Source organism: Homo sapiens, chromosome 2, assembly GCF_000001405.40.
Source record: "Homo sapiens chromosome 2, GRCh38.p14 Primary Assembly".
In the NCBI taxonomy this organism is placed as follows: Eukaryota; Metazoa; Chordata; class Mammalia; order Primates; family Hominidae; genus Homo; species Homo sapiens.
Window position 1 is genome coordinate 215,380,008 of NC_000002.12, and position 20,735 is coordinate 215,400,742.

At 39.7% G+C, this 20,735-nt stretch overlaps 1 protein-coding gene across 17 annotated transcripts in view, besides 1 other annotated feature; it reads right to left on the minus strand.

Annotated features, from left to right (window-relative positions):
• Nucleotides 1-20,735, minus strand: part of FN1 (fibronectin 1) — a 75,204-nt gene that overhangs the window by 19,143 nt on the left and 35,326 nt on the right. For 5 of the 17 annotated variants that reach the window (NM_001365524.2, NM_212478.3, NM_001365520.2 and 2 more), the window contains exons 21-32: nt 19,250-19,344; nt 17,673-17,841; nt 17,130-17,216; nt 14,521-14,712; nt 11,625-11,807; nt 8,205-8,294; nt 6,682-6,951; nt 4,853-4,969; nt 4,013-4,177; nt 3,321-3,476; nt 2,205-2,318; nt 804-1,073 (exon numbers count right to left, since the gene is read on the minus strand). In NM_001365524.2, coding sequence (NP_001352453.1) covers nt 804-1,073; nt 2,205-2,318; nt 3,321-3,476; nt 4,013-4,177; nt 4,853-4,969; nt 6,682-6,951; nt 8,205-8,294; nt 11,625-11,807; nt 14,521-14,712; nt 17,130-17,216; nt 17,673-17,841; nt 19,250-19,344 — 1,908 coding nt within the window. Of the gene's footprint in view, nt 1-803; nt 1,074-2,204; nt 2,319-3,320; nt 3,477-4,012; nt 4,178-4,852; nt 4,970-6,681; nt 6,952-8,204; nt 8,295-11,624; nt 11,808-12,923; nt 13,197-14,520; nt 14,713-17,129; nt 17,217-17,672; nt 17,842-19,249; nt 19,345-20,735 lie in introns of all 17 variants that reach the window. The other 12 variants (NM_001306130.2, NM_001365522.2, NM_001365519.2 and 9 more) reach the window with 3 other exon arrangements.
• Nucleotides 11,190-12,389: an enhancer, noted in NCBI's record as "BRD4-independent group 4 enhancer chr2:216255920-216257119 (GRCh37/hg19 assembly coordinates)". NCBI's record gives its function as "activates an origin of replication core promoter dependent on BRD2, P300/CBP, MED14 and CDK7 cofactors, and independent of BRD4, by STARR-seq in HCT116 cells {active_cell/tissue: HCT116}" and the evidence as "EXISTENCE:reporter gene assay evidence [ECO:0000049][PMID:35650434]".

The window sequence follows — 20,735 nt, forward strand, 5'->3', positions numbered from 1 at the left end:
TCTACATAAAGTATCTTTGTATGGATAACCATTTCACGCAGTATTCCATCCAAAAAAGAGAGAATAATGTTTTTATTGTCTCTTTATTTGGACCCTATGGCAGATATGGCTGCTAAATTTGACGTTCTCTCTGTAATGCGGCGTAAGAAGAAAACTGGCTCCCAACAGAAGCAGAAAAGAGAAGCGAAAAGCAATAATACAGACTGTCACCTCTAGGGTTTATGCTGTCACTAGGATACATCTTTAGCATTCTACTCTGCTTCAGAAATAAAGCACAAGAAGATAAAGTATTATGGAAAGCAATTGCCCTATTGATTATTTCCTAGGTGTCTAAATCACAATCATTTAAGCTAATTATACACCAGCATATGATATCTAACCAGAGAAGAAAGGTCTTACCCACGTGTGCTCAGAATCATGCTGCTATGAAATGCCCGAGTTTGGGTTCCTTTTTATAAGTAAGCTCTGTAATGCCAAACTTCTTTTCTTTATACATAGTGAGGGTAATCACAGGGAGTCAGAGCTTAGGAAATAATCCACAACTTTAGTATCCTCTTCAAATGTCTTGCTTTATGGTCTTGTGTATAAGCCAGGATACTCCAAAATTTCTTTTAATCAGACTTGTTTCCTTAAATATCACCTAAGTTTTATTGTTTCTTACCATTCCTCTTTAAAGAGGATCTTTCCTAATAATTCTTTTTCACCCTTACACGGGAATCAATAGCCCAGTGAAGCATAATTCATTCAGTAGGGCATAAAGCCGCTGCTCCCATGGGCACCTGGTGGTGCAATTAACCATATACCTGTGGACTGGGTTCCAATCAGGGGCTGGCTCTCCATATCATCGTGCAAGGCAACCACACTGACTGTGTACTCAGAACCCGGTCTGAGGCCTTGCAGCTCTGCAGTGTCTTCTTCACCATCAGGTGCAGGGAATAGCTCATGGATTCCATCCTCAGGGCTCGAGTAGGTCACCCTGTACCTGGAAACTTGCCCCTGTGGGCTTTCCCAAGCAATTTTGATGGAATCGACATCCACATCAGTGAATGCCAGTCCTTTAGGGCGATCAATGTCTGTTAGGCAAATTAATGGTAAGAGGTTATGTGAAAAGCAAGTTGTGAAATAAGCATTTTTATAACATGCAAAGCAGTTTTGCAGATACCATTTTCTTTGATGAAGTCCAATTAACCCACTATCAAAAGGAAAAATCACTTAAACACTTGCTTAATTTTTCTTGGTTTAGAAAATATGCAATGTTGCATCACTTATTAAAACATAGGTGTATGTGAGATAAGCAGATACCCTGCAAAATGTCCCCACAATGGGGATGTATTTATATTAATTTAAAGATATTCTACCACGATTTGATTTTTACAATGTGATGTTAGTCTCATAGACCTGGATTTTCTATACCTTGGAAGTGGTAAAGCTGATTTGCAATGTCAGATTCAAATTGTTATAATTGTTTTGTTTTGTTTTTTTTTGAGATGGAGTCTCACTCTATCACCTAGGCTGGGGTGCAGAGGCATGATCTTGGCTCACTGCAACTTCTGCCTCCTGGGTCCAAGTGATTCTTCTGCCTCAGCCTCCTGAGTAGCTGGGATTACAGGCACGTGCCACCGCGACTGGCTAATTTTTGTATTTTTAGTAGAGATGGGGTTTCACCATGTTGGTCAGGCTGGTCTCGAACTCCTGACCTCGTGATCCGCCTGCCTCAGCCTCCCAAAATGCTGGGATTACAGGCGTGAGCCCAGCCCTATAATGGTTCTTACACTCTTCTTTTCCCCTCTCTATTAAGCATTTATATTACACTCTGGTCCAGCCATAGCCCTTCAAATGCCCCAAACATAAAGCTACATGAGGCACACTTCAATCAACTTTACCATCCAGTTGTAGAAAAGACGGTCTAGGAAAATTTTTTGTAGATTTGCTATAGGCAAATAAGATTTCGCTGAGGCCATTTGAGCAAAAGAAATTCAAAGCACAGCAACTAACTATGGTGGTTTCACAACTTCTTTCTCTGTAAATTCCTCGCTTGGCACTGAGAAGGAAAAAAGATGTTCGTAAAGGGCTCAGCTCAAGACATAAACTAACCAACAAGTTCACTTTCCCTATGTGTAATTGCAAAAGACATGTCGTGGGCATTCAGACACCCAAGAACAAAATTTGACTTTGAAAATGGAAACCAAGCAGTGGTTACGTACTGGTTACTGCAGTCTGAACCAGAGGCTGACTCTCTCCGCTTGGATTCTGAGCATAGACACTAACCACATACTCCACTGTGGGCTGCAAGCCTTCAATAGTCATTTCTGTTTGATCTGCAAAGGGAGTGAAAAGCAAATGCAACATCCACGTCATCCACTATAAAGTCCTCAAGTGGCGTCTAGAGTTTGGTAGTAAACATATGGTGGCCTAGAATTTTTATTTGCAGAATTGTAACAAAAATATGGAGAGTCAGACTTTGATTTCCTCTTGGACAAACCTGTTCATTGCTAATACAAATTACCATATGGGAGTGAAGTCACACTCAAGGATAAGATCTAAAACTTAATATGATGCCCCCAACAATTAGTGATACTGCTCTCAGAAAAAATGAAAATTAACTTGACTCTAATAAATTGCCTTAAGATCCTAATTTCACAAGTATTCTATTTAAAAACAAAGACAACATAGCTAAAAAGAGCTGAAAAAGTCAGTTAGGCCATTTATCTCTTCTTAGTGTGAATGATAAACAAAACCAGAAGGGTGAATCTAGTAATTTAAGATGTCCATATCACTAAATAGAACTATCCATGTAAAAACAGAAATGCACTTAAGACTTCTACTGTGAAAAGGGTTGATAATGATCTTGAGCCCTGAACTCATGAATGGGGACAATGATGACATAGGACAAAAAAATACATAGTACTCACAACAAGGTAGCCATTTATATAAAAAAGAATATTAGGTGGTCCTACCCCATCTATCCTGTTGTATATGAGATGCAGATTACTCTTTTTTTTTTTTTTTCCCTGAGATGGAGTCTCTCACTCTGTCACCCAGGCTGGAGTGCAGTGGGGCTATCTTGGCTCACTGCAACCTCTGCCTCCAGACTTCAAGCCATTCTCCTGCCTCAGCCTCCTGAGTAGCTGGGATTACAGGCACAAGCCACCATGCCCAGCTAATTTTTTTGTATTTTTTAGTACAGACGGGGTTTCGCCATATTGGCCAGGCTGGTCTCGAACTCCTAACCTCAAGTGATCTGCCCGCATCAGCCTCCCAAAGTTCTGGGATTATAGGAGTGAGCCACCGCACCTGGCCGAGATGCAGATGATTCTTACCTGGACCTGCAGTTTTAGTTTTTGTTGGTCCTGGTCCATTTTTGGGAGTGGTGGTTACTCTGTAACCAGTAACAGGGGAACTTGAAGGCAGCCACTTGACACTAATGCTGTTGTCCTGAACATCGGTCACTTGCATCTGGGATGGTTTGTCAATTTCTACAAATAAAAGCAGGGAGAAACCAGTGAAGCCCCAGTCCTTGGAGACAAGATTGGACAAGTCCTCCTCTCTAGGTCTGGTACATATTCGAATGATCGCTTACATGAGAAAGGTATTTCTTCTCGAAAGAATACAGAGAGAGCTTTTAGAGGGATGGGGCAGGCATCTCAATACCATTTCCTATTTTTGAGATGGTTGCTTCATTCACAAAGAAGCTACATTCCACAAGCAGGTGTCTCTTCCTACTTTATCAACTCATCCATTCTTTTCCCACAAATACTTACTGAACACTCTCTATGCCTGTCGTATTGCAGACATGCGGAATATATCGACAAAACTGACTGAACTTCCTGCCCTTGGGGTGCTTCCTTCTTTATCTGGCTCAAAACTCTGTTCGCTGCAGGTGCTAGCTGCAGGTTGTTGCTCATTAAAAAGGAAAATCTATTCTACAATTAGAAAAATACCTTGGGAGAACATTGCAAAACAGTATCTGAATAAGTAAAAGCTGGTGTCACCCCAGAGTAGAAGTTTGTACCTGTTCGGTAATTAATGGAAATTGGCTTGCTGCTTGCGGGGCTGTCTCCACGGCCAGTGACAGCATACACAGTGATGGTATAATCAACTCCAGGTTTAAGGCCGCTGATGGTAGCTGTAGACTTGCTCCCAGGCACAGTGAACTCCTGGACAGGGCTATTTCCTCCTGTATGAAAAAGGGTTAGTTCAGAGTGTGAGGGGTTTAGAGCTACTTGGGTATTACTGATTAATTGAATTACCACATTTATAGCAGCATGTAAATCACATCTTCTTGCTTATTCCCTTTTAAAGAGCGCTATCTTGAACAGAAAGGGGTATTTATGCATGTAGCAAACCTTGGTAAGTGTATAAACATTGAGAGAAAATTACAGTTAGCGCTGTTTTAACATTTCAGCTTTAAAATGTCACTGAGTAGTAGAGTAGCATTAGAAGTGGGAGAAGGTAAGCCCTCAACCCAGGATTGCATGCATTGTGTCCTTTTTAAAACTTTTAACAGAATACATTCCTTTTAAATAAAATTTGGAAAATACAGAAAAGTAAAGAGAAGAAAAAATAAAAATCACTTATTTCCACCACTGATAATATGTTTGTGAATTTACAATCCTTTTATTTCCTCAGCTCTGCCGTTCCCCCTCTAGTTGTAGTATATAAACAACTTTTTATTTGGGTTTTAGAACAAATTATATCATCTATATCTTACGTATTTTCTTGGAAAAAACAAGGGCTCCGTTGAATGGACTTGCCAAAGTTTCTTTAATTCTTTGTTCACTGTTGGGCTTTCAGGTTATCCACAACAGAATCTGATTTAATCAGAGTGTAAAATAGCATTTTACTGCTGTACCTGTCTCTCCGTAAGTGATCCTGTAATATCTCACTGTGACAGCAGGAGCATCCCAGCTGATCAGTAGGCTGGTGGGGGTCGCAGCAACAACTTCCAGGTCCCTCGGAACATCAGAAACTAGAAAAAAAAGGGAAACTTTTCACATCCGTAATTTTCAAACAATATTCAGATTTACTGTTTGTTCATTTTCCAGATAATTGTCTTAATGATTCTTCCATACAATCATGTAAATACTACGTGTAATTAGCAGAATTTTATATTATGACGAATTCAAGATAAGGGGTTACAGAGCCCATTCAAATTGTGATAAAATGATTATTTCAAATTTGGGGAAGAGTTTTTTTCCCTCAACATTTTATTTGGAAAAATTTCAAAACTACAGAAAAGTTAAAAAAAAAAAAAAAAAAAAAAGTGATACAAGGCCGGGCGTGGTGGCTCACGCCTGTAATCCCAGCACTTTGGGAGGCCGAGGCGGGTGGATCATTTGAGGTCAGGAGTTCAAAACCAGCCTGGCCAACATGGTAAAATCCCATCTCTACTAAAAATACAAAAATTAGCCGGGCGTGGTGGCGGGCACCTGTAGTCCCAGCTACTTGGGAGGCTGAGGCAAGAGAATTGCTCGAGCCTGGGAGGCAGAGGTTGCAGTGAGCCAAGATCCCACCATTGCACTCCAGCCTGGGCGACAGAGCAAGACTCCATTTCAGGAAGAAAAAAAAAAAAAAAAAAGTAATACAATGAACACCTATATACCCTTCCCTTAGGTATTTGTCTCTGGCTTGACGACTTGAGACTAAAATACAGATAACATGATGCTACTGTTCCCGTAAGTACTTCAGCCTCTATCTGCTAAGAACAATGACACTATTACCCTAAAATTATATTTTTAAAGGTACTTTGAAACAGTGTTCAGTTTTCCACCTTTTTTTTTTTTTTTTTTGAGACAGAGTCTCCCTCTGTCACCAGGCTGGAGTGCAGTGACACAATCTTGGCTTACTGCAACCTCCGCCTCCTGGGTTCAAGCAATTCTCCTGCCTCAGCCTCCTGAGTAGCTGGGACTACAGGTGCATGCCACCACGCCCAGCTAATTTTTGTATTTTTAGTAGAGACGAGGTTTCATCATGTTGGCCAGGATGGTCTCGATCTCTTGACCTCGTGATCCACCCGCCTTGGCCTCCCAAAGTGCTGGGATTACAAGCGTGAGCCATTGCGCCTGGCCCTTTTTTTTTTTTTTTTTTTGAGACAGGGTCTTGCTCTGTCACCCAGGTTGGAGTGCAATGGCCTGATCTCAGCTCACTGCAACCTTCGCCTCCCAGGTTCAAAGATTCTCCTGCCTCAGCCTCCCCAGTAGCTGGGATTACAGGTGCATGCCACCACACCTTGCTAATTTTTGTATATTTAGTAGAGATGGGGTTTCACTATGTTGGCCAGGCTGGTCTTGAACTTCTGACCTCAAGTGATCTGCCCATTTCGGCCTCCCAAAGTGCTGAGATTACTGACGTGAGCCACCCCGTCCGGCCAATTTTCTACATTTTCAACAAAACTTGTGTTATTAGAAATGCATAAATACCCAAATCAGGTGAGAAATTTCTTGAGAGGAAAAAAATTATCTTCTTTACTGCCACCACGCCCGGGCTTCTTTACCATATTCTAAGGAAGATGTTTCTCCACATTTTCTCACTTCCCTCTCCATGTACCATGACAATGATCTATTTTTTTTTTTTTTTTTTTTTTTTTTGAGAGCTGATGACAGACAACAGCAAGCTACTTTACAGAATCTACCAACTGGGTAGGAAAGTCTTCTGAGTTTCTTTGCAGACAAGAAAAGTTACCTGTTGATTGTTGGCCAATCAATAAGGGACTTTCCTCTCTGCCATTAAGAGCAACGATGCTGACCACATACTCTGTGCCTGGAGTGAGGTTGGTGAGGGTGATGGAATTCCGAGAGTGGGGCACCCGATCTTCTCGAGGTCTCCCACTGAAGTGCTCGGGATGATGGCGGATCCTGTAGCCAGTGATGGTGGCTCGAGGAGCAATCCAGTGCACAGTAAAAGAGTTGGCAGTAATATCAGAAAAGTCAATGCCAGTTGGGGAATCAAGACCTGTTTTTCCCACCCGGGGGAGGAAGAGAAAAAAAAAAGAAAAGACACCACCAGTTTAGGAAGTGAGGAAGGTGTAGGGGAAATTAACGTACATCCAACATTTCGTTCCTGTCTCATCAATACCATGATTTGCCATAAACCAAAGAGTAAGATGTACTGATTCTAAGCTACATATGAATTTTAAAATCTTAAATTGACTCAATTCAAAATAGCCAGCTCAAGCATTCATTTTTTTCTTGTGCTAAGTAATTCAAGCAGATTTTAGGGGTTATTACAGTAAGTTTCTGTGTCACATTTGGAGATAAGTGTTCAAGATCTTCTGAGAATTGACATTTTCAAATTCTTCAGTGTTCAAGTATTCTGTGTTTCTATCCTGTAAGTGTATCCTTCCAAGTAAAGCAAGATCTGCCCACTCTCAAAGTAAATGTTTGACTCTCAGAGAAGCCTCCTAAGCTCAAGAGGAAATTTATATGTCAACAGAGTGGTAATGATGCCAAACACAAAACTTTCTGAAACTAAAGACATTATCCCAGACAAATTACAATGCTGATAATTCCTCGTGAATTGACAGTTTTGAAAAATGCATTTTTCAAAAATGCACAAAAATTCAGAGTTTGTTGCAAATTCAAATCACTTAGTCTCTGGGACTTCCAGCAAATTTCTGTTTCAGTTACAGCATTTACTAGTTCTTTTCAATAAGAAACCAAACTAAGATATCATAAGTCCTTTTTGGAAGCAAGTGGACTATAAATAAATTAATGAATACACTAAAGTGTACCTTTTGAAAGAAAAAATTAAAAGCATTCATATTTAAGTATGTAATATTTATGAGATTCAATTCAACTTCCTTCTAGTAAATGCATATTTTATTAAGTAAAAAGAAAATGTAAACTTGCTGGCTTAGTAAAGGAAGACAAATAGATGACAATGAGTGTTGGGTCAGCCATTAGACAGAGCTGCCTAATGAAAAGGAATGTCTGCTAAATCTAAATAACAAAGATCTTCTTAGAAAATGTTTTTTAAAAGGACAGACAACAAATTTCTTAATTTGTTAGTGACTGAAAGTCTAGGTGATTGTTGAGTAAGGTATCTTTTAGTTTTTGAGACCAGCGATAAAATCATACTGTGATGACAAAGGTACACACACCATGACAACAAAAAATGGAGATGTATTTTTAGAAGTAGCATTTCATTTGTTATACAGAATTGATAGGCAAAAGCTACTGGATAGTCATACTGCCAACACCACTCACCTGTTTTCTGTCTTCCTCTAAGAGGTGTGCTCTCATGTTGTTCGTAGACACTGGAGACACTCACTACATATTCTGTACCAGGCAGGAGATCTGTAGGGGCAAATGGGGCTTATTTTAAAACTCTGCTCAAAAGCATGAGAAACTAAAGCACGCCCAGGACTATTTGAACTGATGAAATATCCAAATGTCCAGTCCTATAGCCTACTTACACCTAAGTGAACACTACAGCGAAGTGTTCAGTGAACAGACCTTGAGAAGGTCTGTAATTAGATGATAAGGAAGGGTCACCTTGCCCCATGGCCTCTCGAAGCCCTCCATTCCACCTGTGAGTGTGACTCAGCTGGATTTCGAGTGGGATGAAGTTGCTGCAACAGCTGGATATTTCTCGCATCCACCTGAGAGTATGTCTCTGGAGGGCACATGATAATCCTTGCTGTGGTGCTGTGGATTGCCATTTATGCCTCACAACAACCCTGGAAGGTAGTTTGCTCCTTTTAAAAGCAATTTCTTGTCATACAACGTACTGCATATCTTTAAAGTGATGGGTTTTTACATATGTGTGACTTGGGAGACCATCACCGCATTCAAGAAATGAACAAACCTATCACCTCTAAAAATTTGATTTACTACAATTATCTCCATTTTGTAAATGAAAAAACAAAAAACAAAACAAAAAAAAACTGAGGCACAGAGAAGTTATCTTCTTTAATTTACTTGCCCAGGATCATACTGGGATTGACCCAGGCCAGGACTAGTGGTCTTAATAATTAACCTTTACTGGAAAAAAGCCACACTTAGAAAGCAATCGGTTCTGCCATATTAAAATGAGAGCAGAATATTTTTTAAAAAATTAAATATACATCCCTGAGTATCTTGTTCCATTTTTTTTTATTTTTATTATTTTTTCTTTTTGACGAGGTTTTACTCTGTTGCCCAGGCCGGAGTGCAGTGGTGTGATCTTGGCTCACTGAAACCTCTGCCTCCTGGGTTCAAGTGATTCTCCTGCCTCAGACTCCTGAGTAGCTGGGATTACAGGTGCCTGCCACCATGCCTGGCTAATTTTTGTATTTTTAATAGAGACGGGGCTTCACCGTGTTAACCAGGCTTGGACTGGAAATCCTGACCTTGTGATCCACCCGCCTTGGCCTCTCAAAGTGCTGGGATTACAGGCGTGAGCCACTGTGCCCAGCTTCTTCTTCCATTTTGATACACAGTCAGGCATAGCTTAATGGTGGAGATACATTTTGATAAGTGTGTGATTTGGTGATTTTATTGTGTAAGCATCATAGAGTGTACCTACACAAACCTAGATGGGCTTGTAATCCCAGCACTTTGGGAGGCCGAGGAGGGTGGATCACTTGAGGTCAGGAGTTTGAAACCAGCCTGGCCAACATGGTGAAACCCCTCGTCTACTAAAAATACAAAAAAATTAGCTGGGCGTGGTGGCTCACGCCTGTAATCCCAGCTACTCGGGAGGCTGAGGCAGGAGAATCACTTGAGCCTTGGTGGTGGAGGTTGCAGTGAGCCCAGATCGTGCCACTGCACTCCATCCTGGGCAACAGAGGGAGACTCCGTCTCAAAAACAAAACAAAACAAAACAAAACAAAAAACCTAGATGGTAGAGCCTTTGACACACCTAAGCTATAAGCTATGTGGTCTAGCCTATTGCTCCTAGGCTATGAGCCTGTGCAGCATGTTACTGTACTGAACACTAGAGGCAACTGTAATATATGGTAAATATTTGTATATCTAAAAGATACAGAGAGTGAGGTTTCTAAATTTGGAACTCCTACTCACTAAACCCTCATTCCCCTGCACACCATTTGCCCTTCAGCGTTTCTATAAAGCCCCCTACAAAAGTTTGGAAAAGTGCCAGAATGGAGGACCAGATGCCTGGATTCCATTTCCACCATACTAGCTGGCCAGTGGCAATTTACTTAACTGCTGGGGACCTCGACGGCTTCATGTTTATTTGTTTGTTTATTTTTTTGAGACAGGGTCTCACTCTGTCACCCAGGCTGGAGTGCAGTGGCACGATCATGGCTTGCTGCAGCCTCAACCTCCCCAGGCTCAGGTGATCCTCCTACCTCAACTTCCTACATAGCTGAGACCACAGGTGTGCACCACCATGCCCGGCTAATTTTTGTATTTTTTGTAGAGACTTGGTCTCACTGTGTTGCCCAGGCTGGTCTCGAACTCCTGGGCTCAAGCAATTGGCCCACCTCAGCCTCCCAAAGTGCTGGGATTATACAGGCGAGAGCCACTGCACTGGTTTGCTTCATCTTTAAAAGAGGATAATAATGACTTTGCTAGGAGGGAGAGGGGCTACCCTGAGGTCATCTGTAGCATTAGGATTATAATAAGGTCTTAGAACACATGATTAGCATGTGACAGGTCTACGGCTAAGGGACAGACATTGTGATGCAGGGGCTTGTATACTGGGTGATGCTGTAATTAGTGATTCCAGGGTGCTCTAGAACAGAAGCAACAGCCCTGGGGTGGTGGATATGCCAATATAAAGATATTCTTGCCCTCAGCCACAAAGTAAGAAACCAAGATTATGGTCACGCTGAGCTGCTCTTCTTTGTGTTTCATTATCTAAATTATGTTTGAAAGGTAGATGTTTTCAGACTAATACTTGGTAATGTACCTAAATGTAAGCTATTTTTCCCTTATGTAGAATCTTTTGCTGTTGTTATATATTTGACTATTACAGTGAAAATAATAAAAAGCACTGTTTATGTGAAACACAGCACCATCTTGCAGCCTACTGTTTTATTCTTTAACAAAAGATGTCTATTCTATAATGGTTGGGACTAGAAAGAGACAATTTCCATAAATTGTTGTTATTTATTTAATGTCAGTTTTTTTTCTAAGCTCTCAGTCTTCTGAGAAATCCTTCTAACAGATTCTTTTTGAAGTACAAATTAAACTTCTGACTCTCTTCACAACAACATTCTAATCTAGACCAAACAATCAGTCACTTTTCTAAGTATTCAAATCCTAAATCAATCAACTGCTGACACTTTTTTTATAAAAATGAGAATAAAGCACATATGGTGACACTATTTTCAGTTCTCATTTTTTTCTCTAAAGATTTAGATTTAGTCATATAATTTCTCTTGATATTCACTTATTTTTACGTGCTTATTTAGAAGCAGAATTTGTTTGAAGTCATGGAACTTTCCTGCAGGTGTTTTTCCACTATGATTTTTTTAAAGCTGTAGATATCAAAAGTATATTAAGATAGCAACAAACATTACATCTTTCAAAATTAATGGAGCTGTGCATTGAATTCAGAGTTTAGTTTGTAGCTTGGTTGCAGCTCTCTTGCTCTTAGCTCCTCCTACTTGAGAATTTAGAATTCATTTGCTATGCTCTAGGTTAATATTTATGGAACAGATACATTCAACTGCTTACTTGTTAAGACCACTGCATTGTCTGAAGGAGAAATTGACAACTCTGCAACATCTTCCTCATTTTTCACAGGTGAGTAACGCACCAGGAAGTTGGTTAAATCAATGGATGGGGGTGGAGCCCAGGTGACACGCATGGTGTCTGGACCAATGTTGGTGAATCGCAGGTCAGTGGGAGGAGGAACAGCTGGTTTCGAACAAGAAGGAAGACTCAGTTAATGTAATTTTAAAATTAAAGCTAACGAAGTAGCTGGAAAGGTAAAATCAATATTTCATGCATAAAGGAAACAGAATCATAATCATGCAAACAGTCTAATCTAAGTCTATTTTAAGTTATAGTGTACTACTGTTAAAAATAAAACACTACACACAGTACTGTTAGGCCCCCTTTAACCTTTTTGCCATCATTGATATATTTAAAAAAAATTTTAATCTACTTTCAAATATGTTGACTTTATGTACATTATTAATACCACTGCAGATTATTTTATCCCAGGCCGAAGAGGCTTAAGTTGCCACACAGCAAAGAGAAACATAGCAGTACTTTACAAAGAAATACATGCACACAGACAAAAAGACAAGAGGGTCCTAAACTTCCCCCCATGTGAGATATCTAGAGCTACAGTTCCATTCAGTGAATTCTACTTACAAGTGAACATGTTCATGCAAATTGGTTCTCAGCATGTTTCTTTTCCCATGCACAGCAGAGAACCTTTAAAATGTTGCATGCTTGTCCCCAGACTGTGGTTAAAGAGGTGTTTCTTTACCTAGTGACAGCAACAAAACCTAGAATGCTCCCAAGTTTACTTTTCTCCTACCTCAAAACAATGCCCATCCACTCTACCCTAAATTTTGATGGGTTTTTAGCTACAAAGAAGGAGCATGGTAGAGTTTATCAAAGGGTAGAAGGAAGATCATGATGGTACATTTTGGTGATATATTTCTTATAATTAATTGGTACTTACGCAATTTGGTATTCGTGTTTGGTATTTAAGACGAAAAATTCTAGGTCTTCAAATTGAATGAACATTTGCTATTTTATATTTAACAGAGCAGACATCTGTATTTCTCTAGCTTTATATCTACTTGTGGTTTAAATGAGAGTGTACTGAAGAATACTTGCATGTGTTTTTCTCCAATCAGTTTAGCAGATGCATTTGATTCCTTATCCCCCCAATCCACCCTATCTGAATCTTTGGCCAATTGCTGACTTCCCCCATGAAACATCCATATTTAACCGGAGTAACTGGTGGCAGCATGCAACACCATCTATGTCTCAAACGCAGAAGTTTTCAAAATTCACCCGTTTGTTGTGTCAGTGTAGTAGGGGCACTCTCGCCGCCATTAATGAGAGTGATAACGCTGATATCATAGTCAATGCCCGGCTCCAGCCCTGTGACTGTGTAGTATCCTACTGAGGAGTCCACAAAATCTTCAAAAATAGGGATACCTTCTCCTGCCGCAACTACTGTGATGCGGTACCCAATAATGGTGGAAGAGTTTAGCGGGGTCCACCTCAGGCCGATGCTTGAATCGGTTATATCAACAAAGCTTAGGTCAGTGAGTTGGGGCACCTCTATTGAGTTACAAAGCAAAGGGAGGGGGAGGCAAAAGGAAAATAGAGGGAAAAAAAGAGGAAAAAATAAAGCAGTGTATATCAGGTTACTAGTAGTAAAATTGGTGGAATGTTAAAGCAATGATGGTAATATGCAATCTGTTTTAAATTCTCTGAAAAGACTTCCTAAGCATCATGAACAGTTTGCTTCCCTAGAAGAATAAACAGGAATATTCTTTTAGGGAATATATATATATATATATTTTTTACATTTTGAAAACATCCTTAAAGGGTACAATTTGAACTGTTCAGATTCCTAAAAATCATATGGCTGTTTAGGATGTCAAAACCATTCTTAGAGCCTAGACATAATATCTGAAGTAAGTATCAGCAATGCTTTTAATAATTCCAAAACTGTTTTAGTAGAAAATAAGCTTGCATGAAGAAGGTTAAAAAATAATAAATGGGTGATAAATTGATTTTTTTTCTCCCATACAAAACTCATGACAACATCATGGCCATAACGCTAATGCATTATGAATGTATGGTGTGAAATGTGCCATTCAAAAGCACATTCAGGCTGAGGAAAGACAGGCCTAAGGTTAAGGCCATTGCCACTATTTTAGTTCATTCATAATCAAAACATGTAATTAGCGTTAGTAAAAGCATTCTACTGAAGAGTCCAAAGGGGGACACGATCTGTCCAATGCTTTCATTATGTTATAACCCAATGGACAAACAAGCCTATCCTTAGACAGGCCTTTGCAATGTTGTCTTTCAAGCCACAAGAAAGAACACCCTGAAGGTGTGACTTTTACTTCTTTTTTTTAAAATCCAATTTTCAAAAAGAAGGATTTGAAACTGCAAGATGAAAAACTAGATGTGTCAACCAAATGCTGTTTCAGTGCTCACATACAGGGACAAAACTATTTTATAGGCAGCTGTTGGAAATTGATATGGATTGTAAAATCGGGCAGAAATGTACTGATGGGATGCATTTACCATATTACTTTGAGCCTATCAGTACTGAGTACAGACACGTGACAGTGTTTTAGTCATACTTCCATGTGAGCAGACAATACAGAGTTAAAGCCATGGCTGCCACTCCATTACATACTCGCTGCAACACACAGCATCCCAGTGAAGCACAGACAGTAAAGCAGTGTTAACAGCAAGCATTTGTCCAAATCGCTGCTTTGACTTCTTGGTTTTGGAAAGTGCAGCTGGGAGATCGGAATTAAATCCCAAATATAGTTGACACCCTTAAGCATCTGGGGATTAAGATGCTAATCCCCACTCTTATTGGAAGTGTCACTCTCAGGATAGCAGCTTATTTTTCTATTACCTGGGATGATGGTATCAGAGATAGGGACACTTTCCTTGTCATCCTTGACAGTGTAAACACTGACATTGTACTCCAGGCCGGGACTCAGGTTATCAAAAGTGCAGGAGCTCTGATCAGCATGGACCACTTCTTCCAAAGAATTTCCCTGCTGGCCGTTTGTAGGGGTTGTGGTAATTCTATAACCAGTAATGTCTGGAGAAAAAAGAAAAGGGAAGTTATTGCACAGAGGATCTGTGAGCCAGAGCATATTTAACTAGACTCCAATGATGGATTCACAGGGCGGAATGCAGGACTTGGCATTTACTGAGGACTCCACTGTCACTGTTATTCAATGCTTGCAACAATCCTTTCAGGCAGTACTAAGATCCTCACTTTATTTTTTTATTTTTATTTTTTGAGACAGTCTCCCTCTATCACCCAGGCTGGAGTGCAGCGGTGTGATCTTGGCTCACTTCAACCTCCGCCAAGATCCTCACTTTAAAGGAAATCTTGAACCAGGGGAGTGATTCCCCAAAGCTTTCTTTGTTTCCAAATCTCATGGTCCTATCACTGTACCCTGCTTTTCCTTAATGAATCATTTGAAGACAGCTGAGGAATATTCCTTTCTACCTGCCTAGTATAGAATCGCTCTCCACCTTAAGCACATTCCCCAGAGAGCTCTCCTAATTTAAAAGGTCTGAAACTATGGGATTTATAGGAAGAGAACCAAGAAAGGAGAAAAGGTGAGAAACAAAAGTGCTGATACTTATTCTAGAAAGAGTATTGATTGGGAGGTTGAGGCAGGCAGATCACCTGAGGTTGGGAGTTCGAGACCAGCCTGGCCAACACGGTAAAACCCTGTCTCTACTAAAAATCTAAAAAATAGCTGGGCTTGGTGGCGCATGTCTGTAGTCCCAGCTACTTGGGGAGGCTGAGGCACGAGAATCGCTTGAGCCCAGGAGACGGAGGTTGCAGTGAGTTGAGATGGCGCCACTGCACTCCAAGCCTGGGTGACAGAGTGAGACTCTGTCTCAAAAAAAAAAAACAAAACAAACAAAAAAAGAGAGTATTGATTGTTGAAGTCTTCAGGAATCACAGAAATTGGGCAGTAAAAGAGTTGAGAGGGATGAGAGACATTCAAATAAAAACAGTGATGACTAGAGATCTGTGGGGACAGATTAAAATGAGAAAGTATATTAAACTTTATAAAAGGCAAGGAGATGACAGAATATTTTGCCATTAGGAACAGGGTAAACACTAATGTGGCAAATACAAGGAAACCCAACTGAATGAGAAATAAATATTGAGATCATTACACTTGCTAGTGGTCATCCATATGTGTGGGCTGGGCCATTGAGACGAGATATTAATGATCCTGCTGCTAACAAGCACGAAGATTGTCAACTTAAAGTTTCAAATTCAGAGCAACTCAGCTGGAAATTGTATAGCTTTGGCTTAAACAATGTTTCCGCAGATAATGAAAACTTTACCAAAATCACTCTACTTCAGAGGGAGATTAAAAGAGATATTCTGAGCTAGTTTCATTCTGTGTGTTTGCATACATTAATCAGATTTAGAGATGATAGCCTTAGCTCTGTGCCCCGGCAAAGATAAGAACTATATAATACTTTTTTTTAAACAAAAATTTCACAAGAATTTTACAGTAAAATTAGAAATAGCTAAATAATAACCTAAACATATCCCTTAAATTAACAAGTATATGAGGTAAGAATGCAATCAACATTAATTGGAACTTTTATTTTTGTTTAAGATTTTTCTCCATAGGTTTGTTGAGACTTCCATGTGGTTTTGGCAAAAGTAATGGGTATCTAAAATTTCCTGTTATTGCTATAGTACGTCATGCTGTTTGAATATTGTTAACAACTATCTTTATACATTTTAGCATTTTATAAATAATTTTCAAATATATGTGAACAAGGAATTTAGACAAATGCTTCATTTAAAGCTCTAAAAATGGTCAGGAAACCCCTTAATCAGAATTTTCAGTTTGCATAGAATATAATTAAAAAAAAATTACATTCCAAATATGTGACATTGGGTGTGAGAAGGAGTCTACAAACTTAAGTTACAATCCCAGTTTTGTAACATTTAAAATGTGTGACTATGAGTAGGCCAATTTTTTCTAAGTCTCAGTTTTCTTATTCTGTAAAATGAAGGTATTTCTGCCTTTCATCACCCTTAAATATTTGTGGTGCAACCCATGACAAAACATTCATAAAACTTCAGGGAATAATAAACTTAGGCTCTGTAACAACTCACAAAAGGGAAATTACGTAATATGACTTCAACCATTTGTTTGGCAATTTTTAATGCACTCAGCAAAAGCCACCTTCCACAGTGCTTTTCTTCAGCCCTACAGCTGTGTGAGGATCTGTCTTGTCCCCCTAGACTAGTGTAAGGTTGTTCTGCTTCCTGTGATTGAAGTCAACGTGCATTAAAGCATCCTGCAGGCTGCTCCATGATGTACATCATGTACTGCTATAGTTTTTATGGAGAGCTAAGCATTTGTAATTTGAATCCCTTCTTTCTCTGAAAGAAACACAGTTTCTAAAATCTTTGTCTTGGGAAGGTATGGTGTATACTTGCCCTCTGATCCATCCCAAACTTACCTGGGGTGGTGCTCCTCTCCCAGGAGACTGTGAGCACTCCAGTGTCAGGGTTTGCCTCCAGATGCAAGTTTGTTGGTGGAGACAATGCTATGCAGAAAGAACATTTTAAAAGTCAAAGCTGACACAAAGCTCTTGACCTGTGTAATCTTTCCTCCTTCCCTACCTCCCTCTCTTCCATGCTTCTTCCCTCCCTCCCTCCCTCCCATAAAAATATAGGTTACATTATGAAAATATGATGGACAGCAGTAATTCTCTGACAAAGACTTCTTTATGATTAATGATTTTGCAATACTATTGAAATTATTTTCATCTTGCCAGTTCATAAATATTCTTGACATGGAAAGAACATTTCTGATGCCATAAAATATAAAGCATGAATTGAACCTGCTACTCCAAATTCAGGAATAGCATTAATAATATAAGTAAGGATAAGATATCTCCCCTGTGCCATTCTCATAAGTAAAAAGTGATATTGACACTAGCTTTTTTCGAAAAGTAGAACAGTTTTAAAAACTAATAGAAAAGGGAAAAAATTCTTCTTACGTGTCACCACTTTGTTTACAATTGGCGCATCTCTTTCCTGTCCATCTCTCAGGACTTGGATGGTGTAGACGTATTCTACTCCTGGAGTCAAGCCGGACACAACGATGCTTCCTGAGTCTGAAGTCACTTCTCGTGGTGCCTCTCCTCCCTGGCTTGGTCGTACACCCAGCTAGAGGAAGGAATGCAAAGTAAACACCAAGGACAAATATTTCCAGAGGACTGTTACTGCTGTGAGGCTATGATTATGCTTTAAATAGTGTAAACTCTTCAGAAACTGCACAGTGTACTTTTATTGGGAAATGATTTGGGGACTCTTTTATATACTTTAGCTGGAAATTCCCCCAGGTGGGGGAGGTATCTTCCAAACTGCATTAAGGTGGCTTGTAATGGAAGGTTCCAGAGAAATGTCATTACATACTGTTTTGCTTGATAAAGAATCTCTTGTTACAAACCAGACGTATACAGGGACTGTGGGTCACATGGTAGTTCATTTCTATTTTTCTGTGTGTGTGCTAGAAGGAATGTCTGAGCTCTCCCTTTAACGAGTTATTCACATTCAATTAACCTTTTAGTTGCCATTTAAAGGCACCAGCCCCTGTAGCAACTGTATTGCAAAAACACACCTTTTGAAGAGATATGTACATAGCTTCAACTGCAGGATGATACATTACAAGAGAAGAATTAGAATAACTATGCCCATAATTTAAAATCCTTTTAAGATTCTATTTCAAAAACTTAGGTAACACTGTTATCCAATAGTGTTCAACTCTAGAGAGATCCTTCACACATCATAAGGCTTCTGAAAGTCAGCATGACATTATTAAGGGAATTAAAAGGTATACTGGCACTCTTCAGAAAGTTCTTCTATATTTGAGTAGCATAATCATAAATATGGCCATTTACAAACTTTATCTTTGGTGTATTTTTTTAAACGATCAAGGGGATTGAGTCATGATTTCCAGCGATAACAAATATTTCTCTCTTCACACTAAATGCCAAAGAATGGAATTCTTTTAAACATATTCATTTGTATTCACCGCTTCCCTAATATCATTACTTTAAAGAAGATGAATCCAGATATCCACAGGGAAACCTTAATCTTAACTTCTATTAAGAGATTCACCCTCAGTGCTTTGAACAGTTGGAGATGAAACTGATTGGATGAAAATGCGATTTTTAAGTGACTCTGAGTTTAACTGGTCTCCCTAAACTGGCTTTTGTGAACTTGTTCACACTCATTTAGAACAACACATCAAATAAAGTTTTCCCATGTTTTTTTGAAATGTAATTCCCTGCAGGAAAGGATAGAGAAAATAAGATAACAATAAGCAGCAGCTTCGTGCTAATGTTTTATCCTTTGCAAAACACTTTCGCAGCCTCCATCTACCCTTCCAACAATTCAGTGAGGTAGGCAGGGAAGGACTGTTAGGCCCTGACAATGTAGTCAAAGATGTATGGACAGAAGCAGGTGACAAAACCCAGGTCTCCTGACTCCTGAGCACCCTGTTTCCACTACATGGGAACCACAAGGACAGCTCAGGGCTGTATCACAGAGATTAGGAACATCTGCAGTTTACCTTAAAACCAATTCTTGGAGCAGGCGTCCATGTGATCACAATGGTGGTCTCAGTCACCTCGGTGTTGTAAGGTGGAATAGAGCTCCCAGGCTGCACTGTGAGAGAGAATCAATGCACATATTCAAAACTCAAACTCACAGATGATTGCATAGCATATAGATAACAAGTATTTTTATGGAGAACCTCAGTTTAACCAAGCAGTGGATAGAGGATGTAACATATTTTTTCATTGGGTGAGAATTGGGAGAGGATCAGGCTTCTCAATCTTTAATGTGCCACACACATCATCTGGGGTCTGGCTAAAATGCAGATTCTGTTTCTGGAGGTCCAACAAAAAACTAGGGAGTTTGCATTTCTGACAAACACAGATAATACCAATTCTGCTGGCCCGTGAATGATACCTGAGTAACAAGGGGTTAGATGTTTGCTAAGGTGGTCCTTTCATTGAAATTATATAATCTAATTCATGTCTTTTTATGATTGTTGGGATTTGACTTTGATGACAATAAATTTCCCTATATCGTCAGTGTAAAATCCCTTATAAAATGTAAAACTGGCCACCACAAACTGATTATCATATTGTTTCTTAACCATTAATTTAAGAACAATGGTAAATTATAGAAGGTGATCTAAAAACAGCTTTATGCTGGGCGGGGATCGGTGGCTCATGACTGTAATCCCAGCACTTTGGGAAGCCGAGGTGGGTGGATCACTTGAGGTCAGGAGTTCGAGACCAGGCTGGCAAACATGGTGAAACCCTGTCTCTATTAAAAATATGAAAAATTAACTGTCATGGTGGCTCATGCCTGTAGTCCCAGCTTCTTGGGAGGCTGAGACACAAGAATCGCTTGAACCCTGGAGATAGAAGTTGCAGTGAGCCGAGATCATGCCATTGCACTCCAGCCTGGGTGACAGAATGAGACTCCGTCTCAAAAAAAGAAAAAAAAAAAGCTTTACGCTGAATTATTCCACAATAATGGTCAGCTATTTTTGGTTGCAATAAAAGATGCTATATAAAAGTTAAACAAAATCTGCCACCATGGATGCACTTTGAAGTCTAAAGATTTGTACTTTAAATACGTGATTATTCTTTCAGAATAATACTGCAAAAATTTAGTATTTTATCACCAGAATCAGGAATTATAACAAATTTATTTTGCATTTTCTAGCATCCTGACATCACTGTTATTTTTCTTATTGAAAATATTACTTTGGCCAGGCGCAGTGGCTCATGCCTGTAATCCCAGCACTTTGGGAGGCTGATGTAGGTGAATCACTTGAGGCCAGGAGTTCAAGACCAACCTGGCCAACATGGTGAAACCTTGTCTCTGCTAAAAATATAAAAATTAGCCAGGTGTGATGGTGGATGCCTGTAATCCTAGCTGCTTGGGAAGCTGAGGCAGGAGAATCACCTGAACCTGGGAGATGGAGGTTTCAGTGAGCCAAGATCACACCACTGCACTCCAGCCAGGGTGAGAGAGCAAGG